The 26,595-nt window shown below is 43.2% G+C and overlaps 1 pseudogene; it reads left to right on the forward strand.

The window, feature by feature from the left end:
- Positions 2,477–2,746, forward strand: RN7SL702P (RNA, 7SL, cytoplasmic 702, pseudogene; annotated as a pseudogene).

Raw genomic sequence — 26,595 nt, forward strand, 5'->3', positions numbered from 1 at the left:
AGAAAGAAGAAAGGGTATGAGAGTAACAGAGAGAAAACTTACCTACACTAAAATTGATTTAGAATCAATTTCTCAATGCCTAAGCTGATCCATTGAGTTTCAGAATACAATAGGTCAAAGGATCTTTCAACTCTGCCCATTTCAACTAGAGGTTAAAAAAAAAAAAAAAGACTAAGAAAATGTGTCCAAACAAGCCTTCCCCAACTCACCTATCAGTTGTATTTTCTCTCTAATGTCTATGAACAGAACAGACAGGCTGTTCTGAAAAGGCTTTGCCTCTTCTGGCAGCTGCCTTGAATCATTACGAAAGCATTAGCCACTCCATCTCACCTCCCTCTTCTATGGGAGGGCTGGTCCATGCTAGGCTTACCCAGATTGTTCATCTTGATAATGTGCAAATGAGGCAATCTGCGCCCCGCATTTGCAATTCCTACTATGCATCCAGGAAAAGAAAAAAAAAAAAAAAACAGCACACCAACAACAAAACATTACATTCAGCGAAACACCTACAGCTTTTCTTGCTGATGCTGAATGTTCTTATCTGTGACAACCACCAAAGCCATTCATCACACCAGGATCAAGACTGGCTGTTTTGAGCCAGAGCAATCCCGTTTGATGTCCCTTGCGTTGCGGTGACCTCATGGTCTATAGCAGTGCCTCAGGGACATCTGTGCTTCCAATTAAAGGTGTGGGTGGGGTGGACAGAAATGGAAGGTCTTCCCTGTCGTTATATCTTAATAATATTCAACAAGACAAAGTGTGGGCAATAATTTGGAAGATGGTAGGTATACTGTTCATCAACACCCTGCCCCAAATGGATGGCTATTATATTAAACAGCACAGATGGAAAGCCAGATAGTAACTCTCCCAGCATTTTAAATAAAGATTTGAAAATATCAGAGGGCATACATAACTGTCTCCCAACAAAACACCATTTTGTGAGATGGAACACTCCATTAAACATGCTATTATATGATTCCGTAAACTCTAGAAACCAGATTTCTTTTTTTTTTTCTTTTTTTTTTTTTTTTTGAGACCGAGTCTCTCTCTCTCTCTGTTACCCAGGCTGGAGTGCAATGATGGTGATCATAGCTCACTGCAGCCTCAACTTCCCAGGCTCAACAATACTCCTGCCTCAGCCTCCTGAATAGCTGGGACTACAGGCACCCGCCAGTCCATGGATAATTTTTGTAAAATACAAAATCTTTGTATTTTACATAATTTTTGTATTTTTACATAATCTTTTACTATGTTGCCCAAGCTGGTCCCAAACTCCTGGGCTCAAGCAATCCTCCCAACTTGGCCTCCCAAAGTGCTGGGATTACAGGCATGAGCCACTGTGCCCAGCCTGGAAACCAGATCTTGCATCAGACCAGAGATGCAGATTTCTTCAGGTAAAAGTACTTGGAGAGGAATTCTGAACTGGAATTGTCTAAAAACACCAAAAGAATATATGTTAAGGAGATGTGAACTTATTCCCTAGAATGAAAATTTACATACAAAGGGCACATGCATTTTTTTGAGATAGAGTTTCACTGTGTTTCCCAGGCTGGAGTGCAGTGGCCCTATCTCAGCTCACTAAGATCTCTGCCTCCTGGTCTTAAATGATTCTCCTGCCTCAGCCTCCCAAGTACCTGGGATTACAGGCACCCACCACCATGCCTGGCTAATTTTTGTATTTTTAGTAGAGACGGGGTTTCACCATGTCGGTCAGGCTGGTCTCAAACTCCTGATTTCAGCTGATCCACCTGCCCTGGCCTCCCAAAGTGCTATGTTTACAAGCATGAGCCACCACGCGTGGCCACATTTTCAACCCAAGCAATAAAATACAAAGAATAAAAGTGTCTGTAATTCAGATTTCCATGGCAGCTCCATGACCATTGGTTTGCAGTCTCATTGGTGAATTAGTTAAGTGACTCTGCTTTCCACAGATTCCTCTCCTCCCAGCTTCCAGGACTCTCTTGATTCATTCTGTTTCTCCATGGAATGAGTATTCACTCTGAGGACTTCTTTCAGAATCCCTACTTATAATCACAAAAAGGTTTTCCACCTTCGTGCAACTGCTCATGGTAAAACCTTGGTTTCTAAAGAATTTACTAATCTCTTTTTTTCTTTTTCTTTTAGATACAAGGTCTCATTCTGTCACCTAAGCTGGAGTGCAGTGGTGTAGTAATAGCTTGCTGCAGCTTTAGCCTCCTAAGCTTGAAAGATCCTCCGTCTCAGCCTCTGGAGTAGCTGGAACTACAGGCATGCACCACTGCACGTGAGTAATTTTTTTATTTTCTATTTTTTTGTAGAGATGAGGTCTATGATGCCCAGGCTGGTTTTGAACTCCTTGCCTCAAAGAATCCTCCTGCCTTGGCTTCACAAAGTGCTGTGATTATAAGTGTGAGCCATCATGCCCAGTCTAGATTTACTGATATTGATATGTTCTGACTTTTCTGAGTCCATTTTATGTTGACAAAAGCAAGAAGTAGCATGCCTGTGGTCCCAGCTACTGAGGAGACTGAGGCAGGGGATCGCTTGGGCCCAGAAGTTCTGGGCTATGGTGCACCATGTTGATCGGATGTCTGCACTAAGTTCAGCGACTCCCAGGAGGAGAAGACTACCAGGCTGCCTAAGGCCAGGTGAACCACCCTAAGTCACAAAGGCAGCAGGTCAAAACTCCCGTGCTGATCAGTGGTGGAATCACATGTCTGAATAGCCACTGTACCCCACCCTGGGCAACACAGCAAGACCCTATCTCCTAAAAAAAAAAAAAAAAGAAAAAAAAGAAAAGAAAAAAGAAACAGTAGCATAGCCACACTTAGCTAAATTCTAAACTTTGGTTCCTGCTATCTAATCAGTCATGTCTATTTAATGCAATAATGCCAATGCACACAACTGTCATAAGGGCAGGAAAAGAAAACAGTAGAACACACATTGAAAAGGAACAAACCTTTGACCAAACCAGGTGTTGTTTCTTGAGCAGTGTAAAGGCAGCCCTATTAAAGGTCATGATTTGCAATGTTCTGGCGTCCATTGAGTTGTTGTCGGGGTAGGGTGCTTGTGTCTGAATTCACCCAAATTGTTCAGAAATGGCACTTGCCTGCCATCTCTGAAAGACATAGATGAATCTTAATACAGTCCTTGTACATAGCTTTTCTATGTTGTTTTTTTTTTCCAGTAGGACAAGAAATACATGAAAGACTTCATTGTCGTGCTGGTTATAGTGACCCAGTGAGGATAAAGCTCCCCTAAGGAAAATGATAGCAGGTCTATTTTATCAAAGTTTGCATTTATTTCAAAGGTTAGCATCTGGCCAGGAAATATAATGTTCCCTCTTCTAGGAAATAAAGTGAAATTGTAATAAATGCAATGTTTATCATCCACACGCCTACATTCCTGAAATTCTTGGAGTTCACTTTTCTCATGGGTGAAATCAAGATTGGCGTGTTATCTGTGCATAGCCTTTGATGTAAAGATGATGATACTCCCTAGCCACATTCCCTAGACGATTTCAGCTGCCTCCTAATAAGACGTTCTGACTGTTACTCTTCAGAATTATGGGATGAAGAGGGCTCCATAAACCATCTCACTCAAATAGAATCAGAACCACTCACTCTTCCAGGAGCTGAAGGGAGATTTTAAGCAGATCACAGATGACCAAGTGTCCTAGTAATGTCAGAGTTTCTGGGGAAAAAAAAAACGCTAATAAAGAACAAAAGTGCTCCCTGCATTTGTGATGCAGGAGATAATTCTTGCTGAAGTGAAGCAAAACAGACAAATTTTTTTTGCTTCTCATTAATATAAATTTTGCTTAACAATATTCAGCTCCATAGAGGATATGACACATGTCATTTTGCAATAAGCAACTTGCTGAGGTGTTTTTATGAAAAAATATCCAGGGATCTATCAAATGATGGGCAACTGACTCTTTTACCCCAAAGCCAAAGTTCGTTTGTTCATGGAATATTTATAAAATCCCAGCTGAGCATCTGACTTCCAGGGTAGACTTTGGAGTCACAATGAATGGAATCAGAATAGCTCCTCTCTCAGCAGAGAGGATCAGTGTCAGTCGTGGCTATTAAAAAGTTCAATAAAGTGTCACAGACAACAAGCTTAATGTATCCTGGGTTGAAACAGACACAGGTTAGAAAGTGAAAGGAATTCTACCTAGGGTGATCGGAAGAGAATCATAGAAAAAGATCAATGTTCTCCCGTTTTCTAATAAAGCAGTCGGCCTGTCTACAAGAAAATTGAGTGAAGCAGATTTTGTTTAAGATTGAGATAAAGTCAGCACTGCCTCCATCTGTTTCAGGTTGGGTGGAGAGGGTCATTCTCTTCAACAAGATGTTGTTTTGATACGATCCAATATGTTCAATTATTTTAAATGTCTAGACTAGACATTGAAATTAAGAATGATGCTTCCTCCGAGAGTGGTGGTTCATGCCTGGAATCCCACCACTTTGGGAGTTGAGGCAAGCAGATGGCTTGAGCCCAGGAGTTTGAGACCAGCCTGGCCAACAAGGCAAAACCCTGTCTCTACTAAAAATACAAAAATTAGCTGGGTGCGGTGGCACATGACTGTAATGCCAATTATTCAGGAGGCTGAGACAGGAGAATCACTTGAACTCAGGAGATGGAGTTTGCAGTGAGCCAAGATCGCACCACTGTGCTCCAGCCTGGGCAACAGAGGGAAACTTCATTTCCAAAACAAAAAAAAAAAAACCACACAAAACAAAAAAAAAGGAATGATGGTGCGACCCAGCACAGTGGCTCACACCTGTAATCCCAATATCTTGGGAGGTTGAGGCAGGCAGATTGATTGAGCCTGGGAGTTTGAGACCAGCCTGGGCAACATAGAAAGACCCTGTCTCTACAAAAAATATTATACAAAAATTAGCCAGGCATGGTGGCACACACCTGTGGTCCCAGTTACTCAGGAGGCTGAGGTGGGAGGATCACTTTAGCTCAGGGGTTTGAGGCTGCAATGAGCTGTAATTCCGCTACTGTTCTACAGCCTGGTCAATAGAGCAAGACCCCATCTCAAAAAAAATTTGTTTAATTAAAAATTTAGTCAAAAAGAATGATGCTGCATTTTTTTTCAAACCTTAAATCCAAGTAGTTTATTAGGGAGGTAATTGAGGCAGCATTGATCAGGGAAAGAGGAAGAGAGACAGGGAAAGGCAGGAAGCCAGTAGAGATTGTACTTATGAAGCAGCTTGCCACTGGGCTATTGAAGCTGAGTCTTGTGCAGAAACACTGAGATTCAGCGAGAGACCCTCAGAATTATCCAACCCAGGGACGATGAAGATGAGATATTTATCCTAGGATTCCTTTTCATCCTTCTGTCCCAGCACCTTTATTTGGTCTTCCATGCAGAGGCTGACAGCAGAGTCAATAGGACAATTTTGCCATGTGCTATGATGGCTAGGACTATGGGGCCATAAGCTGCATGTAGACAGCATTCACCATATATACATATTTCTGTGTTAACTTGGAGGTTTCCTTGATCATTCTTTACACTTCCTGACTGGTTAACTTGAAGAAGAGGGATGAGGGGAAGCAGAAACCAGGCAATCTTGCTCAGCAATAGTTTGAAATAGGCATAGTTCACTCCCAAAAGTAGGAACTGGGGCAAAGATTGGATTTTTTTTTTCTTTTTTTGAGACAGAGTTTTGCTCTTGTTGCCCAGGCTGGAGGACAATGGTGTGATCTTGGGTCACTGCAACCTGCGCCTCCTGGGTTCAAATCATTCTCCTGCCTCAGCCTCCCAAGTAGCTGGGATTACAGGCATGCACCACCATGCCTGGCTGATTTTGTATTTTTAGTAGAGATGCGGTTTTTTTCTCCATGTTGGTCATGCTGGTCTCAAACTCTCGACCTCAGGTGATCTGCCTGCCTCGGCCTCCCAAAGTGCTGAGATTACAGGCATGAGCCACCATGCCCAGCCAAACATTGGATTTTAAGTGCAGTTTTGGCTGGGTGCAATGGCTCACGCCTGTAATCCCAGCATTTTAGGAGGCCAAAGTGGGTAGATCACTTGAGGTAAAGAGTTCAAGACCAGCCCGACCAACTTGGTGAAAGCCCATCTCTACTAAATACAAAAAAATTAGCTGGGCTTAGTGGTGCATGCCTGTAATCCCAGCTACTCAGGAGGCTGAGGCAGGAGAATCTCTTGAACCCAAGAGGCAGAGATTGCAGTGACCCAACATTGTGCCATTGCACTCCAACCTAGGCAACAACAGCAAAACTCTGTCTTAAAAAAAAAGAGCAGTTTCATGCATTGATCCTAAAGGTTGGATTTATTGCCAGCTTATCTAAACTTTCATGAATGCTTAGCGATTTGAATTCCATAGAGAAAAGCAGACAGCGCTAAAAGACTTCATGGGTTTTAAGAGGACACTTAGTCAGGCGCGGGGGCTCACACCTCTCATCCTAGTACTGTGGGAGGTCAAGGCAAGAGGATGGTTTGAGACAAGGAGTTTGAAACCAGTCTGGACCACATAGTGAGACCCTCCCCCATTTCAAGTAATGATAATAATAATAACAATTAATAATAATAATAGAGGGGGCTGATTGTAGGCTGCAAATTTTTTAATAAAGAAAATGGTCATTGTGGAGCCACCTTCCTGAGGAAAGGCATTTGTAAGAAGCTTGTGAGGAGACCCCCTAAGAACCAGGGGTGATGTCCCTTCAGGAAGAAAAGAACAGATCATCAATGCTGGGACCTTGGAGGTAGTAATAGAGAATTTGGATTTTATCTGACAGTGAAGGAGAGCTGCCCCATGATTTATAACCAAGGTCCATCCACTCTGGCTTGTGTTTCAATATCAATATACTTGACCAAGTACAGCATACACTATAAAGTGAGTGTGCAGCTGGGACCAGGAACAGGCATTCTTCCTTGAGAAACTACAGTGTGTCTCTGAAAAAATGTCCAGTACATAGGCTGGGTGCAGCAGCTCATGCTTATAATCCCAGCACTTTGGGAGACTGAAGTGGGTGGATCACTTAAGTCCAGGAGTTCGAGATGAGCCTAGCCAACATGGTGAAACCCCCATCTCTACAAAAATAACCTGGACATGGTGGCATGCACCTTTGGTCCCAGCTACTTGGAAGGCAGAGGAAGGAGAATCAATTGAACACGGGAGTTGGAGGCTGCAGTGAGCAGAGAAGGTGCCACTGCCTGGGTGACAGAATGAGACTTCATCTCCAAAAAAAAAAAAAAATTCAACAAGGTTGGCAATGCTGAGAAAGACTCCCTGCCAAACAGGGAGGACTGGAAGGGGCTCTGCAGGACATCATTGAGTCTCTAATACTTTCCTACAGGGGTATTTGATGCCTTCCAAAAGTACGAGATACCCCATGGAAAGGCTAAATCTCAAAGGAGCAACCAAGTCAGGCCATGAGTAGGGACCCTTCTGTAACCAAGTTATGGCTTTCACACCAAAAAGCTGGGGCAAGGCAGTCTACCACAAAAGCAAAATTCTCCAACCAACTCTCTCCCTTGTTTCTGGCTGCAACTCTGATCCTGGCTTCTAGACCCAGATAGGGTAGAAACCACCTTCTGTCTCCTCTGTTTCCTGCCCACTTTCTTTAAATTTATTTATTTATGTATTTATGTATGTATGTATTTATTTTCAGACAGGGTCTTGCTTGGTTGCCCAGTGTGGAGTGCAGTGGTGCTATCAAAACTCACTTCAACCTTGAATTCCTGGACTGCAGCAATCCTCCCACCTCAGCCTCCCAAGGAACTGGGACGCACCACCATGCCTGATGAATATTTTAATGTTTTGTAGATATGAAGTCTTTCTATGTTGGCAAGGCTGGTCTTGAACTCCTGGCCTCCAGTGATCATCCCACCTTGGACTTCTTAAAGCTGGGATTACAAGCAGAGTCACTACACCTGGCCTCCTGTGCACTTTCTAGGTTTCTAGAAAGTAGGAGACCTTAAGAAGTCATGATTAAAGAATACAACCCCCTCAGAGTTGATTTTGGCACTCCAACATTACCAAAGAGATAATCCTATAACATACAATCTAGAATTCCACTAAAATGGGGCCATGAGACTTAGCAAATAAAATTTCAGGGTGCCCAGGGAAATTCAAATTCCCATTAAGCAAGGAACAATTTTTTAGTACAAGTACATTCTAGACATTGCCTGAGGTACTTATACTGAAAAAACAAAAGTTCATTGTTTATCTGAAATTCAAATCCAATTAGGAGTCCTTTAACATGTCTGGCAACCATACACAAGGATGAAATATGGGTAAGATCAGTAAGACCAGTCCTTGTAATTCACTTGAAATTAGATAATATAGAATTGGTTAATGTAGTAGCTGACCTTATCGGGTGGAAGAAAACAAGATCGGACTATGAATAATAGCCAAAAAAAGGCCAGGTTTCATGGCACATGCCTGTAATCCTAGCACTTTGGAAAGCCAAGGCAGGCAGATCACCTGAGGCCAGGAGTTCAAGACGAACCTGGCTAACATGGTGAAACTGCTTCTCTACTAAAATTATAAAAATTAGCTGGGCACGGTGGCTCAAACCGGTAATCCCAAGTACTAGAGGGGCTGAAGCAGGACAGTCACTTGAGCCCAGGAGGTCAAGGATGCAGTGAGCTGAGATCGCACCACTGCACTCCAGCCTGGGCAGTGTGACTGTGAGACTGTGTCAAAAAAGAAAAAAGAGAATAGACCCAATGACTACAGATACTTGAAAATACAGGTTGACTGCAAATTTAATGAAAATATATTTTGTCTTTAGACTGTGAACTCATTTTCTATTGCTACAGGAAACAATGACCCCAAACTTAGGAAATTAACACAACACAGCATTATCTCATAGTTTCTGTGGGCCAAGAGTCTGGGGACAGCCATGTTTTCTGTTTCGGTTTCAGGGGGCTGGAGCCAGAGTGTTAGCAAGGTGTGCTCCTTACTGAAAGCTCTGAGGATGTGTCTACGTACAAGCATATTTAAATGGTAGAGAGGATTCAGTTGCTTATGGTTGTAGGACTGATGTCTCTGTTTCCTTACTGGCTGTGAGCTACAGTTTCTCTTAGCTGTGCTGAGATTCGATCAGACTGGTGGGAAAAACATTAGTTATCATAGCCACAAAACCCTTTTGGATGGCCTGAGAGTTTTCACATGACTTCGGTGAAAGTGGCCTGGTCCCATTACTTTACTTAAATAGATTAAAGTAGTAAACACCAGGGATGTGGGGAAGCTATCTAGCTAGCTTGTTTACTCATGATCTTAAAATTAACCTTTGATGTACCCTGGGTGCTTAAGTGCTTTTTACTTTGGAAGTCCACAATGTCAATTACCCTCTAATGGTATTGACTCAAGCTTTTGTTAATTAATCTTACTGAATAAATGTTAGTCTGACTACCTGTTCAATGCTGGAACTGCAACTGTTTACCAGACTCAGCAGGGAGTCTGTAAGTGGCTAGGACCCTCAGCCGGACTGGCAGAATAGAATATCTGTGTGTCAGTGCACGTTTATTCATCTGCCGCTGAATCAGGGGTCTGCAGGAACAGATCCCTCGCAGCCAGTGAGCCCACAAAAGGAGTGCTGCCTCAGGGTCCTAGAAGCTATCCACATTTTCATGCTTTTTTATGGTGCATTGACTCCCTCTCATATTCTAAATCTATCTGAATTCCTCTTCAAGCAATGTGAGGTAAAGGACTGTCACCCCCAAATTCCCTACACTGTCCCCTATGGTTGGTGTGCAGCACCAATCACACAATGACAGTGGCAGATTGCAGCAATGATCGCCCGATAATTTACCCCTTTTTCCATCCACATCTTGGCCACAGGGCTCTTCTACAGGGTCCTCTTGCCCCAAGCTTAGGCACATGATTTGGCTCACCATTGGGTTATTAGAAAATGGGATAAGCAAAGCCTCATGACACATGTATGGGGGAAACTGAAATGCATATGGCTCGTGAAAGAAGCCAGTCCCAAAAGTCTACATACTGTGGGCTTCCAACTCGAGGAAATTCTGAAAATGGCAAAAGTATGGAGACAGTAAAAAAGATCAGGGGTTAGTCTGGCACAGTCGCTCATGCCTATAATCCCAGCACTTTGGGAGGCTGAGGTGGGTGGATCACTTGAGGCCAGGAGCCAAGACCAGCCTGGCCAAGATGGTGAAACCCTGTCTCGTCTAAAAATACAAAAATTAGCTAGGTGTGGTGGTGCATACTGTAATCCCAGCTACTCGGGGATGGTGAGGCACAAGAATCTCTTGAGCCTGGGAGGCAGAGGTTGCAGTGAGCTGAGATCCCACCACTGCAGTCTGGCCTGGGTGACAGAGTGAGACCCTGTTTCAAAAAAAAGATCAGGGGTTGGAGAAAGGAAAGCATGAACAGGTGAAGCACAGAGAATTTTTAGGGCAGTGAAACTGCTCTGTGTAATACTACAATGGTGGATTCATGTCACCATACATTTGCCCAAATCCATAAAATGAAAAACACCAAGAGTGAACCCAATGTAAACTATGGACTCTGGGTGATGGCAACATGTCAACGTGGGTTTATCAATTTCAACAAATACACCACTGTAGGGGGGATGTGGATACTGGGGGAGGCTGTGCAGGTATGGGGGCTGTGGGTGTAAGGTCAGCTGAGAGAAAGGATGAGGAGACCCAAACTCAGGCAAGCAAGCTTTATTGAGTCATTAGAGGAGGCAGCCTGGCTTACAGACTATAGCAGGATTTTATAGGGCCAGAACCAGGTCGGGGTGGGGGAGCTGAGTCGGGGGTGCAGAACAACTGGGTCGGGGTCGGGGAGCTGGGTCAAGGGTACAGGTGTCTTGACTGCACCCTGCAGAAGTTTTTTGCCAGCTGTGTTATGCGAGGTTAACAAACATGTTAACCACAACCTGTAACCGTCTGGACAAACAGTTACTGGAGGGGTCACTGAAGGAGGGGTTTGTCTTTTGCCCTGGGGGAGTTGTGTGGAGAGCGCAAGAGACTGTATTGTAAGGCCTGTGGGAGGGGAAGGGAACAGTCTGGTTGGGGTGACCTTGACATTTTAGCCTTTTAATAGATAATAGGAAAAGAGGCACCATTTTTCATCTGGCTACTTTGAGCTGAGAGGGGGCAGTAGTTAGGGAAAAGGCTGGAAGGTAGAGGTTGGTCCTGGTACTGTTTTGAAATTGGTGCTATTCTTGTAGTAGCATCACATCTTGTATGGTTTCGTGGGTAAAAGTTGGGACGCGGTTCTGTAAAAACTGAGTAAAGAGACATAAGAGGCAGGGCGCAAAAAGTAGGAAAAGGAGAACGGTTATGATGGGTCCTACGAGTGGGAGTAACCAGGAGGCCTAAGAGCTGAGAGACCAAGGGGGCCAAGAGGGCCAGGCAGAGGAGCTGGTTGGTTTTTTTTGGTTTGTTTTTCGTTTTTTGTTTTTGGACAGGGTGGGGGAGCTTGGTCTTTTAGTTTTTGACTGCATCCTGAACCAGGCCTGACAAATTGAAACAGAAGCAACATTCCTCATCTACGAAGATGTGGAGACCTCCTTTTTCTGCAGTAAGTAAATTAAGGCCTTTGCGGTTTTGTAGGGTAACTGCTGCTAGGGAGTCTAGTTGGTTTTAGAGGTGGGTAATAGAGTCTGCAATTTTTTTTTTCTTTCAGGAAAGCTGGTAAGTCTGTAGAGAGTGCCGGGAAATATGATAATGAGGTTCCTCTTAACTGGTGTGTAGGAATAGATGGAGAGCAGAGGGCCCCTTGGGAGGAACTGACTGAGCATAAATGATAGTTTGAGGTTATGTTTTTTAGTAAGATAAAAAGGTGGGGGAAGAGAAATATGGGTGAAGGAGAAGGTACAGGGGGTGCACACCAACATGGAAAGATTGGTGAAGGGATGATAGAATTTTTTGTTTGTTTGTTTGTTTCTTTGTTTGTTTGGTGGAGGATGAGTTTTTCATTTTTGATTATCTAGTTCCTTTGGAAGGAGGTTCCTTGTTGTAGTAGTGATGCTTTCTTTTTAGTGGGGGAATATTGGGTTTGGATTGTAGGGGTTATGAGGAGGAGAGAGACAGGGGCAGAAGAAAGGGAGACTTTTTTGGCTTCCTTATTGGCTTTCATGTTTCTTCCTGAGATTTTATCTGATCCTGTTTGATGTCCTTGACAGTGTATAACCCTTGCTTTGGTTGGAAGGTGTGCAGCCTGAAGGAGTTGGTAAATAAGGGGGCCATTAGTAATGGGGGTTCCTTTGGTAGTCAGGAATACTGTCTTTTGCCAGATGGCAGTGTGGGAATGAAGGATGTGATATGCATATTTGGAGTTTGTATAAATGTTGACTTGTTTGCCTTTGGAAAGGGTTAAGGCTCAGGTGAGAGTTATAAGTTCTGATTTTTGGGAGGAGGTTCTGGAGATAGGCGTCAGGCTTTAATTACTTAGTCAAAAGAAGCAAGTGCATATCCAGCAATTTTGGGGGAGCCACTGGGCCTGAAAGAGGAGCCATCTATGAATAGCTGGTTATTGGGGTTGGTGAAAGGCTTGGAGGAAATGTTTGCGAAGTATAGTTGCAGGTGGTCTAAGATGCCAATGCAAGAATGACTAGGAAGGGAAAAGGATACGAGGAGTAAGGATGCTGGGTTGAGAGGAGCACTTTTGGCAAGGCAGAATTTGGGATTTTTGCTAAAGAAGTCATGGAGTAATTGAATCCAGGAAGGAGGAGGAGAGCTTAATGCTTGGGAGGAGAGATCTTATAGATTATGAGGACTGTAGACAGTGGTATTTTGGCTGAATGTTAGTGTCCTGCTTTCTACAGCTAAAATGGTTGCTGCTGTTAGTGCTCTAAGACAGATTGGCCACCCTTTGAATGTGCTGTTGAGTTGTTCAAAGAGGTAGGCTATAGGAGCAAAGGAAGGGGGATCTTCTTTTTTGTTGTCTTAAGAAACAAAGGGCTATTCACTGGTTTTGGGCAGTATAGAGAGTGAAAGTTTGGGAGATAGTAGGTAAGGACAGAGCCAGTGCAGTGATAAGATCAGTTTGGAGTTCACAGAAGTTGGGGAGTATGTTATGTGAGGAGTTTAGGGGTATATTGAAGGGGCCTTTGGCTGCTTTATAAAGGGGGTGAGCTAGGAGGGCAAAGTTGGGAATCCATATTTTTAAAAGCCTGATAGCCCTAGGAAGGAAAGGATTTCGCTTTTTGAGGAAGGTGGAGATAGGCTGTCTATTAAGGCTGCCCATGCCAGGGTCATTGCTTGGGACCCAAGGGAGAGTTGAACTTCTAAGTAGGTCACACGGTAGGGATGGAAAGCTGTGCTTTGAAGGGGGAGACCCTATAGCCTTTATTAGTAAGGAAATTGAGAAGGGTAGCAGTGTGAGTTTGGGAGTTTTTTAGGGAGGGGCTACAGAAGAGGAGGTCATCTACATATTGAAGAAGGCAGCTGGGGAAAAAGATCCAAGGAGGTGGGGTTTTGAGCTAGGGCTTGCCTGAAGAAATGAGGGCTATCCCTGAAGCCCTGAGGGAGGACAGTCCACATGAGTTGTGTCTGTAGGTTGTCAGGGACAGTCTGAGTGAAAGCAAAATGGTTTTGGGAATCAGGGTGTAGGGAAATGGTGAAGAAGGCATCTTTCAGGTCAACTGCGGTGTAGTAGGTGATGTTGGAGGGGACAACAGAGAGACGTGTATAGGGGTTAGAGACTACAGGATGAATAGGGAGGACAGGCTGACTGATAGCTCAGAGGTCCTAAATGAGTTGGTATGAGCCGTCAGATTTTTTAATAGGGAGGATAGGGGTGTTATATGGACAGTGTGTTGGTTTAAGAACATTGCGTGAGCAGAGCTTGTTTATGATGGGTGGCAAGCTCTTTTGTGTGTTAGGGAAACAGGGTATTGGGGAAAGTTGGGAAATTTAGAGGGGTCTCTTTTTTTCAAGACGGAGTCTCACTGTGTCATCCAGTCTGGAGTGCACTGGTGCGATCTCGGCTACTGCAAGCTCCGCCTCCCAGGTTCACGCCATTCTCCTGCCTCAGCCTCCTGAGCAGCTGCAACTACAGGCACCTGCCACCATGCCCGGCTAATTTTTTGTATTTTTAGTAAAGACAGCACTTCACCCTGTTAGCCAGGATGGTCTGGATCTCTTGATCTCGTGATCCACCCACCTCGGCCTCCCAAAGTGCTGGGATTACAGGCATGAGACACTGCGTCTGGCCTAGAGGGGTCTTTTAACTGAATTTTGATGGGGTCCTGGTGAGCAGCTGTGGAAGGGGTGGTGGTGTAACACAGTACTGGGTTAATGAGGGAGGTGGGTAGCGGGTGCTGGGGAGGGGGCTCAGGGGCCGGACTAGCAGAGAGGAGCAGGAGAGACTCTGGTTGAGGGGACAGGAAAAGGTGATAGAAGCTTTGAATTTGGCTAAAATATCTTGGTCTAGGATGGGGGTGGGGCAATGAGGCATGATAAGGAAGGAGTGTGAAAAAATATTATTAAATAGGGAACAACTAAGAGATTCAGTAGCACACAGACACAAGATGAGTCCCTCAACCCCCACAACAGAGACCTGGGAAGGGTAAGTGGGTCCTAAAAATTCAGGTAAAGCCGAATAGGTAGGTGGCCCCACTATCAATTAAGAAAGAGATTGGCTTACCTGCTATTAGCAGAGTTACCCTGGGCTCCCATGTAGTGATGGCAGATGGGGCCGGGGGCACTGGGCTCCATCAGTCTTCAGTGGCCAGGCCATGGGGCTGCAGCAGTATGAGTGCCTTTTTACTCTTTGCTTTTCCAGGGCCTTGAGGAACCGGCCTGTTAGCTTGCTTGTTAAGAGGGCAATCAGATTTCCAGTAACCAGTTTGTTGGGAGGCTGGCCAAGGCGTTTTTGGCACTTGCAGGTTAGGGCACGCTCAGGCCTACTGGCCTTCTTTGCTGCACTTAAACAGGGACCAGGAGGGTCACTGCTATTGGGTCTTTTGTGCCCCTAGGCAGCCTGGGTAGGCTGATGAATAGCTGCTGCTAAGAGCTGGTATTTAGCACAATCTCGTTGGGCTTTATCTAATTTATTTTGCTCATCTCTGTTGCTGAAGACCTTACAGGCCAGGTTAAGGAGGTCTTGTTGAGGGGTTTGAGGGCCGTCTTCTACCTTTCCGAGCTTGCACCATATGTCAGGAGCAGACTGAGAGATAAAATGGGTATTAAGAACAATCTTTCCTTCCCGGGAGGTGGGGTCAACATGGGTGTGTTTTTGGAGGGCCTCTGTAAGGCAGGAAAGAAATTCAGTGGGATTTTTGTTGGCCCTTTGGGAGATTTCTTTAAGTTTTTTAAAGTTTATGGCTTTATGGGCAGCTTTGTTGAGGACTGCGGCAAGGCAAGTGATCGTGCCGTTAGGAGATGCCCAGCCAGGATCTGTGGGTTGATAGTCCCAGGAGAGTTTTCCCGGGGTACTGCAGTGGCCCCCATGGGCTTAGTAGGGTCTTGCTGATGAAGATTGTTGGCATGTGCCTGAGCTGCAAGCCACACTTTTTTTTTTTTTTTTCCCTGGGAGGACTGCAGAAGAGAGGATAATTTGGAGATCATGCCAAGTGAGTTTGTACGATTGGGTAAAGTATTTGAGCTTTTTGATGGAAGTGTCAGGATTGGAGGAAAACGACCTGAGACGTTTCTTAATTTGGGAAAGGTTGGAGAGGGAGAAGGGAATGTGGATATGAACGATTCCTTTAGCCCTGGACACCTCTTGGAGGGGAAGTAAGGGGGCCGACTTGGGCGTGCTGAGTCTGAGAGCGGGTGTGAGGTGGAGATGAGAAGGAATCAGAATCAGAAGCTGGGTGGTTGGAAAGAGTGGGGAAAAGAGCGAGGGCAGGAGCGTAGGGTGGAGGGTCGTGATGATTGGGCAGAAGATTATCATGTTGACTGGGCCGGGAGAAGTCGGCAGGGTCAAAGGAGGAGGAATTGTCAGAAGGAAGGGGGAGCTGAGGATGTGTCTGGCTTGGAGCAGGTGAAGAGGATTTGGAAAGCGGAACAGGACTGACAAAGGGAGGGGTGGCTACGGAGGGCAAAAAAGGCCTGAATATAAGGGATTTCAGACCACTTGACATTGCGATAGGAAAAGTTGTCTAAGTCCCTGAGGATGTTAAAATTGGAAGTGCCATTTTCAGGCCATTGGGAGCCATTGTTTAGTTTATATTGCGGCCAGGCAGTGTTACAAAAAAGATGAGCCTTTTTGGCCGAATTTCGGAACGGAGGCTAAGGGCGTTAAGGTTACGGGGGAGACACTCGAGGACGGGATGTTTCGACGGAGTGGATTGGGAGGCTCCTATAGTGGAATGAGAAAGGCAGAGGTAGAGACGGGAGACTTGGCCAGAGACCAGAACGGTGGGAGAAGGCATCCCTTGTCCCATGGTTCAAGTCGGATAAGTGGATATCCCCCCGTTCAGGCGTCCCTGAAAGAGAGATACCGAGGGCCTAGAGGCTGGGAGGGGGGAACCCTTGGCCCAGCGCTGGGTCTTTCGGGAAGGAAAGAGCGGACAAGGGTTCCAGACTGAAGACAAAAGTCTCCTTTACTCAGGCCTGACACGGCCCCGGTGTTGGATGTTATTGCTAGCAATGGAAAAGCTGTATGAAATCCTCGGGTCTCTAGCAGATTCTGGAAGGAGAAGTTTGGCTAGGAGGAGCTGGGAAAGTAGAAGGGGAGAAAGGGAGGCCGAACTCTACCATCTTCCCGGGTTTCAGCACCAGGATGTAAAGGATCATTGGAAGGACAGTTGAGAAGGGAATGAGGCCAATAAAGCCAAGTTCAGGCAAGCTGATTTATTGTCAGTCCTGCGGGACTACCTCTTGAGAAAACCAGAGGAGGCAGCCCGACTTACAGACTGTAGGGTTTTATAGGGCCAGAACCAGGTTGGGGTGCCGGAGCTGAGTCGGGGGTGCAGGAGAACTGGGTCGGGGTTGGGGATCTGAGTCAGGGGTGCAGCTGTCTTGACCTCACCCTGGAGATGTTTCTTGCCGGCTTTGTTATGCGAGGTTAACACACATGTGAACCGCATCCTGTAACTGTCTGCACAGTTACTGGAAGGGTCAGTGAAGGAGGGGTTTCTCTTTTGCCCTGGGGGATCTGTGGAGAGAGTGCAAGAGACTGTATTGTAAGGTCTGTGGGAGGGGAAGGGAATGGTCTGGTCAGGGTGACCCTAACAGGGGGCATATGGAAAAATCTCTGCACCTTGCTTTTAATTCAGCTATGAACCGAAAACTGCTCTAAAAACTAAAGTCTATTAAATGCTATATATTAATGATAATATATTGATATTTATAGGTAAACATATAGAATGCCTACCCTGTCCCAGGCACTTTCTTCTTCTTTTTTTTTTTTTTTTTTTCTGAGATGGAGTCTCAGGCTGGAGTTGCCCAGGCTGGAGTGCAGTGGTGTGATCTCACCTAACCGCAACCTCCACCTCCTGGGTTCAAGAGATTCTCCTGTCTCTGCCTCCTTAGCAGTTGGGATTACAGGTGCCCACCACCACACCCAGCTAATTTTTGAATTTTTAGTAGAGATGGGGTTTCACCATGTTGACCAGGCTGGTCTTGAACTGCTGACTTCAAGTGATCCGCTCCCCACCTAGCCTCCCAATACACACTTTGGATATAGTAACTCAGCCCTCACCACAACACCATGAGGGAACAACTCCCATTACTTCCTTTTCACAGATGAGGAAACCAAAGCACAGGCAGTGACCACACTGAGAAGCCACAAGAGAAAGTGGTGAGGACTAGGCACTAGCAGGGGAAAAGACCTTCCTCTATAATTTAAGTGAGAAAAGCAATGTGTCTATTTAGTTATTTCAGTGCTGCTAAACAAACTGAGATAGGCACACATAAAGAGAAAGAAAAAGGAAGGCAGAAGAGGGGAGAGAGAGAAACACAGAGAAGAGAGAGGAGAGAAACACATAGAGAATGAGAGCGGGAATGAGAAAAACAAGAGAAAAAGAGAAAAATGCGAGAGGCAATCAGAGTCAGAGAGAGACAGAGAAAGAGAAAGGTACAGGGAAAGAGAAAAAAGAACCATGCAGAAAAAGAGAGAGCAAGAGAGAGGGAATCAGATGGAACAGACAGAAATACACAGAGGCAGAGACTGAGAGAAAGAGGGGGGCCAAACACACGGATAATGAGACAGAAACTGAAACCGTGACAGGGACCATTAGAGAGATGCAGAAGACACTGGAGAGAGAAGGAGTAATACAGAATGAGAATCACAGAGAGAAACAGAGAGAGAGGAGACAGAAACACAAATAAAGAGAGAGGGAGAAAGAGAGTGAGATATAAAGGAGAGAAAGAGGGTGACACAGAGAGGAGAGAAAGACAGTAAGAGAGGAGAGAGAGAAACAGAGTGAGACAGAGAGGACAGAAAGACAGACAACAGAAAAGATGTGAGACAGAGAGGAGAGGAACAGAGTGAGACAGAGGAAAGAGAAACAGTGAGACAGAGAGGACAGAAAGACAGTGAGACAGAGCAGAGAAAAAGACAGTGACACAGAGGAGAGAGTAAGATGAGAGAGAGAAAAAGAGTGAGACAGAGAGGAGAGAAAGAGACAGAGGAGACAGAGTGAGAATGAAAGTAAGACAGAGGAGAGAGACAGAGGAGAGAAAGAAAAAGTGTGAGACAGAGGAGAGAGTAAGAAAGAAAGTGAGACAGGAGGAGAGAGAGAGAGGAAAGAGAGAAGGAAAGTGAAACAGAGGAGAAAGATACAGAGAAAGACAGAAAGAGGAGAGTGAGAAAGAGGAGAGAGAGGAGAGGAGAGTGAGACAAAGAGAGAACTACGCACACAGAGGGAATGAGAGAAGGCTGAGGCAGATACTCTCACATGTTAAGTTGGAGTGAGATGGAAGATGTCAGGGATTTTTCTCACTGTTTTTCTTCTCCTCCTCTCTGTGTAAGCTTCCCAAGTGCACGGGACTTTTCTTGCCTCTGAGTTTCCTTCTGTATCCCTAGAGCCAGGAACAAAGGCTGCCACCTGGGATGCACTCCTTAAATATAAGTTCAAGAAACACAAGGGAGAGCAGATGCTTTTTCTTTGATGCCAAGGCATGACTTTTATAAGCAAGACAATTTGACGCTCACAGAATTTCAAACAGCAACAAACACACACACGCATTCCTGCTTGCTCTTCCCTCTGCAGGCTCCATGAGGAGGCAGGGGCTAGACAGCTGGTGGTTGTTCTAACAGAGTCCCCAACACCAGACTTGGGAGTACAGCCACACGAAGCACCCAGGAAACCCACAGCTCAGGAGTGCAGCAAATGCTTATGCTTGAACATGACTTATTACCCACAGTTATGATGGCCATAAATAATGATTCCACAAGACAACATTTACCACCCACAGAAACTTCATGGAAAAACCACTTCACCATAAAGAGCTCAGTGACAAAATAAACAAATAAAAACACAGATTTGTACAAAGCCCAAGAAAAACCACACAGAAAATGACCGTTGTATCTGGTAATGCTCCAAGCCAAAATGGAAAATGTTGGAAGTGAGGGAATGCAAATAACTTTCGGAATCTATGATCTTTCATTGCCCATCCACTCAAATTTTTGGAATCTATGATCTTTTACTGCACATTTGTCCAATTTTTTATGAACTTTGAAAAAAATCTATGTTCAAAAGTTTAAAACTTATATAATTTTTATAATATATTGCCCATTTCTTATGCTGTTTCTAAATATTCTTCAGTGTTTTGTTTTGTGATTCTTTTTTTCCTTTAACTGAGACCTATTTCTTTAAATCTTCATGGTGGCCTAAGTCTTCTTATAACATGAGGTTTTTTCAAGTTTTAAAAAACCCAGGGTCTGGGTGCAGTGGTTCATGCCTGTAATCCCAACACTTTGGGAGGCTGAGGCAGGTGGATCACCTGAGGTCAGGAGTTTGAGACCAGCCTGACCAACGTGGTGAAACTTCCTCTCTATTAAAAATGCAAAATTATCCAGGCGTGGTGGCTCAGGCCTGTAATCCCAGCTACTCCAGAGGCTGAGGCAGGAGAATCACTTAGAACCTGGGAGGAGGAGATTGCTGTGGGCCAAGATCGCGCCACTGCACTCCAGCCTGGGCGACAGAGCGAGACTCCATCTCTTTGAATCTGGGGAAGAACAACTACTATTAAATCATGAAGGTCGACATCAATTCTAAGTTCTACCTGGACAAATAGATGCAAAACATGAAATTATCATGCAGTTCATGCTCAACAGAGATGTTATGGAGCCCTGTATAAAGCTATTGTGTAGGCACATTCTCTGTTGATTTAAATTAACAAAGAACGTGCTCATATGATGGATGTTAAATTACGTCGGATGTTCAATTACATTGACCATATAGGGAATGTGATGGGGTCACACGAAAACATTGTTTAACCCCATTCTGTCTAAGATTCCACAACTCCAAGATGAGGGGTACATCTCTAATACTCAGGAGTGTCTGGAGAAGTGAGAATACAATAAATATGTAAGTCTTTGGTTAGGTATGGTGGCTCACCTGTAACACCAACCCTTTGGGAGGCCAAGACAAGAGAAAAATTTGAGCCCAGGAGTTCAAGACTGACCTGGGCAACATAGTGAGACTCCATCTCTACAAAAAATTTTAAAAATACAAAAATTAGCTGAGCATGGTGATGTGTGCTTTTACTCCCGGCTACTCCAGAGGCTGAGGTGAGAGGATCGCTTGAGCCCAGGAGATCAAGACTGCAGTGAGCTGTGATCACGCCACTGCACTCAAGCCTGGGAGACAGAGAGAGACCCTGTCCCCTGACAAAAAAAAAGAAGAAAAGAAAAGAAAAAATATTTATATATATAAGTCTTGTCCCCTAGTCGGCACAAGTTTGTGCATCTCCCATTACTTCCTTCTTACCTCTTCCTTCGTTGTTTTAAGATGATGGATTTAAAGTGCCCCAAAATGCTCTTTATTGGGCATTAAGTATTAAAGTATTGTATGAATCAAAATGTTCCACCTTTTTCTAAATTTGGCACTAAAAATGGGGGCATATATTTGCGATGATCTTCATTCTTGCGTTATTTAATGGTCCATAGAATTGCATGTATTTACTACATTATAAACAGTGTGATAAGTTGATGCAAAAGAATGATGAAATAGCAAAAAAAAGATGAAAAAATTATCTGGGTATGATGGTGCATGCCTGTGACACCACCTACTCAGGAGAATCACCTGAGTCTGAGGAAGTCCAGGCTACAGTGAGCCATGATCATATCACTGCACTCCAGCCTGGATGACAGAGTGAGACCCTGACTCAAAAAATAAATGAAATAAAATAAAAATACAGTACAAATAGTGACATGCTTAGGGCTAAAGATGCTGCAGGATAATAGCTTGATAGTTTTGTAAATCTGCCCAAATTTAAAAATTAAGTTGTAATTAGCCAGGCATGGTGGCATGTGCCTGTAATACCAGCTACTCAGGAGGCTGAGGCACAAGAATTGCTTGAATTTGGGAGGCAGAGGTTGCAGTGAGCTGAAATCACACACTGCACTTCACCCTGGGCAACAGAGCGAGACTGTCTCAAAAAAAAAAAAAAAAAAAAAAACAGTTGTGGATACAGCATTCACACCTGCTGAACATTTATTTTGACCAATAAATGATTTCTCAATGTACAAATGCAAATCAAGGAAGTTCAAATTATCAGAGGACATGTCAGAACTTCTCCCTAAATAAAATGTCTGTAAAAGTGTATTTCCAAATGTGGACCATCTCACCTACAGTGCCCTCCCCTGGAATTTAATATGCAACTCATTATGAATGTTGGGAGCTTTCTCATGATGTCAGGCTAGTTCCTGGGCATAGTTTCCAGGAAATGAACTTTCTGCAACTGTCTCACCCCATGCCAGAACTTGCTGATTTGCAGCCTGTTCACCTCTTCCTGATTCACATCTGCTAATTCTATAATATATATGGTAAATCTATACTATATATACATACCATATATATATACTCACATCATATATACACATACACATATATACACACCCTATATTTATATACACACACACACCCAGTCTTTCTCAGCAACAATAATCAAGAAAATAATTTCCTTGATAGACAAGCAGGATGAACTTCAGAGAGACAGGTTCTTTAAAACATTCCTAGAGATGCCTTCAGTGTACAATAATTATAATTCTAAAATATTTTTAGTGTGTGATAGGTGAAAAAGAATTGCAGGTGTATGCATAAAAAAGGCAGTTGCAATCAGGGAGATAGGTTTGATACTGTTTTGTTTTTACTTCTTTGAATGTATCTTTTTTTTTTTGAGACAGGATCTCACTGTCACCCACGCTGGAGTGCAGTGGTGTGATCATAGCTCACTGCAGCCTCAATTCCTGGACTCAAGTGATCCTCCTGCCTCAGCCTCCAAACATGTGATTATGGATGTGATTGGCTGTGCCCAGGCCGAATGTATCATTTTTATAGTAGAATATAATTTGAGCTGTTTCTTTTTAATCAGTGATTTGAAAAACTATTAAAGAACCTCTGTTGGTAATAGAAGAAAATTACACCCATGCTTAAGATAGGATATTTAAGCTACACTTAAGGAATCAAAGCTTTTTGGTTAAAGTGGACTAGCAAAGCCAAAATATGTAGGACATGCAGAAAAAATAAATGAAGTATTCCAAGTGTTTCAATTTGACAAAATGTAGGTGAAAGTATTCTATTGCTGAAGACTAAAATGAATGCTGAAATACAGCGAGGCATAGACCCTGTCATAGGATATGATTATATAGAGTTATGCATTTTGGTGTCATAACAGAAGTTTGGTGTCATAACAAGTTTGGTGTCATAACAAGTGCAGTTGACAAGGCAGCTTCATTTTATAATGACACCACTAGAATAGAGAATCTCAGAGATGACTCAACAATAAGTGATTAAAATAAAATTAGTTAAAAATAATGTAATGGGTGACAATAGAATACAAGTTTTGTTTGTTTGTTTGTTTGTTTTTTGAGACAGCATCTTCCTTGGTTGCCCAGGCTGGAGTGCAGTGGTATAATCTTGGCTCACTGCAACCTCCAGCTTCTGAGCTCAAGCAATCCTCCCACCTCAGCCTCCCAAGTAGCTGTGATTACAGGTGTGCACCACCACACCCAGCTAATTTTTAAAATTTTTGTAGAGACAAGGTCTCGCTATGCCGGCCATCCTGGTCTTGAACTCCTTGGCTCAAGCTATCTTTGGCCTTGGCCTCTCAAAGTGCTGGGATTACAGAAGTGAGCCACCATGACTGGCCAATTTTGTAATCTCAATCAATCAATAAAGGAAAGTGGACACCATCTCCGACTTTGCTCCTTTTTTCCTAAGAGATAAAAATGAACACACTAATAACTTTGGAAGGCAAAAATTTTCTCTTCTTTGTGATCAGTGCTTAGAGGGAAACATTCATGACCATCCCCTAGGCTGTCCCAACTCCCTGCTCACTAAAAGTCACTAGGAAGGGTGACATGTGGAAATAGCTTCAAAAGACCACACCTGTTCCATTGGCCTTGAAGTTAGATCATCTATTTCTGCCTCTGCTAAAAATGTAACTCTATCTTTGAAGAAGCTCCTTCCAGTCTCTTAGTCTCTGTTGCCACATATGCAAGACACAAGGAAGGTTCTCCCCATCTAAGTGGTGTATGTGCCTGCATGAAAAGAAATAGAACGTGGAGCACAGTAGATGCTACACTTTAAAGATCAGTTTCTCCCTCAGTCTCCTTGGGAACTGCATCTTCCTCACAATCAAAACCTGTAAATTCTACACGTTTTTCTCAGTTTTAGAGTTGAAGGCTGTGAAGTCAGGAAACCAAAGGGAAGTTGCAGTGAGCTGAGATTGTGCCACTGCACTCCAGCCCAGGCCACACAGCGAGACCCTGTCTCAAAAAAAAAGAAAAAGAAAAAAATATATATATATATACATATGTGTACACCTACCATGTGTATACTATATATAGACAAAATACATGTGCACCATATATGTCTATACACCTCTGCACACTATATATGTGTTACATATGCCATATACATAAATCTATACCATATTTACATACCATATATATATGCACTCACACCATATATACACATACACATATATACACACCCTATATTTATATACACACACACACACCATAACCATCCATATATATTCATATAGTATATATGGGGTGTGCATGTGTTTGTGTTTCTGTGTATATGTAATATACACTGCATATAAAATACTAGTCCACCATATACATCTATACAAAATATATATACCACATAAATATATATCCCTCTCTCTATAGATACATACCCACCATGTACACATAAATCCAACATATATGTACAAGACATATGTGTACACACACATATATACACACATCAATCTACACACCATGTTTTTACACCAGATATATATGCACCATTGATATACCATATATACTCCATATATAATACACACTATATATATACATACACATATTTTGTGTGTATATATATATTATATACACACTCCATATATAATACTATATTTGAAGAGGTTTATCTAAGGAACATTACTCAAGAGACTTCCTCCATAAATAAAACTAATTCAGCTAATGAAATTCTGCTCACTAACCTGATGGTATGGGGGCTTTGGACGGAGGTAACAAAATTTTGCATGTGACAAGGGTATAAAGATTTGTGGCCAGATCTCAGAATCTGGCACTTGTAGGCATATGTCTACAAATTTCTGATAGGCAGCCCTGGATAAATATTTTTGTTAGGCAATCATAAATAACTAATACAATGAGCAGACACATATTTGTAAAAAATAATAACAGTAATGATTATTTTAATAAAAAATAATAAAAATATATAGCAGGAATTTAACAGTGTTATTTCTGGGTGATAGGAATATAGAGTCTGGTTATTTTCTTCTTACTATTTTTTCTATATTATTATTTATTTTATTTTATTTTTTGGAGACAAAGTATTAGTCTGTTACCCAGGCTGGAGTGCAATGGTGTAATCATAGCTTACTGCATCCTTGACCTCTTGTACTAAAGTAGGGACTACAGGCACATGCCACCACACTCAACTAATTTTTTATATTTTTTGTAGAGATTGGGTTTCGCCATGTTGCACAGGCTGGCCTTGAATTCCTGATCTAAAGCAATCCACCTGCCTTGGCTTCCCAAAGTCCTGGGACCACAGACATGAGCCATTGCACCTGGCACTATTTTTCCATATCTTTGCTTTTTCAGTTTTTCAAAATGAAACCCTAAAAAGTAGGATGAACAAAGTTTGTCCAGAAATCCTTTTATAAATGTTTGCCTCATTTTGTCTACTAGCAACTAGGGGTCAGTTTGTGCTCCTGGTGCTATCAGAGTTCCTACCTCTCACTTACATGCAAACATGGGCATGTCTCATTGCTTATTAGCCTCCTGTACTCGGATGTGCACAGTTCAACATCAATGACCACTCAAGTTTAATTTGTTCCATAGCATTGCCAGGGTGGCATGACTGCCCGTTCCTGGTTCATCCTGTCCCTTGATGGGACTCCCTATGGCCAAGATGAGAAAGTAGGAAGAAAGAAACCAGTCAGGCAGGCAGTTAGGGTGAGTCTTCACTTGAATCCTTTCAAACAAAAGAACAACCTGAAGGAATTGCAGATAAGGGAACTTGCACAGGGGACTTGCCTAAGACATGCCCACAGCTGCACAGATATGAAGGGGTGCACAGGTGACTTGCCCAGACATGCCAGCAATGGAAAATGCTGTGCTCTAACACATGCGCAGTGAGCAGGATAAAACAGTATAGGGTAACTCAAGCTAAGGGCCTGTGTATGCACTAGGAGGATGTTGTGGAGCTACCAGCAATTTGCACCATATGCAAATAAGACACCCTGCCCTCATAGGTTTCTTATAAAGGCCTTTGCATTCACTGTGAAATAGTAACCCTCTTACAGGCCCCCACTCTGTGATGGTCAGCTTTCTTCTTTTCTTGTTGAAGTTTCACTCCAACCTCACCATTTTGCCCATGCTCCTTAATTCTCTCGGTCGTGAGAGAAAGAACTACAGGTGATACCTTACAATGAGAGACTGCTACATTGCAGTGCATTGGCGAGAGTATAACAAAGGGGCTTAGAGCCCAAAGACTTACAGCCAATTTAAATGTCCTAGGACAGATGGGAATGAAGGCAGACAGACATTCATCGACCTTTAAAATTCTTTAAGCAATACAAAAGCCCAAAAGCCAAACATGAGGTTACAAAATTAACTTATCTTCACCTTCTATGCATCAACCTACTGTATTCTTGGTTTTATTTATAGACTTGTAGCTGTTAGCTACACAAAATATAAGCATGGTTAAAACCTTTTACGCTAAGGAATTTAGACATTTTTAAAACCTTTTAGCCTAGGAATTTAGAGAATTTTGTTGTGCTGTAATGCTTTTTACATACTTTTTAGCAATTTGTCCTAAGTTGGCTGAAAATTATATATATATCTGTATATATATATATATATATATAAAATATGTGTGTGTGTGTGTATATATATATATATACACACACACACATAAATCTCATACCTTGGAGTATTATACCAGGGAGGCTTTGTCATAAGGTACCTTTATCCTCTCAGTAATTTTCTTTTAATTCTATGGGAAGCAGGAAATTTGTTA

Source organism: Homo sapiens, chromosome Y, assembly GCF_000001405.40.
Source record: "Homo sapiens chromosome Y, GRCh38.p14 Primary Assembly".
Classification (NCBI taxonomy): domain Eukaryota; kingdom Metazoa; phylum Chordata; class Mammalia; order Primates; family Hominidae; genus Homo; species Homo sapiens.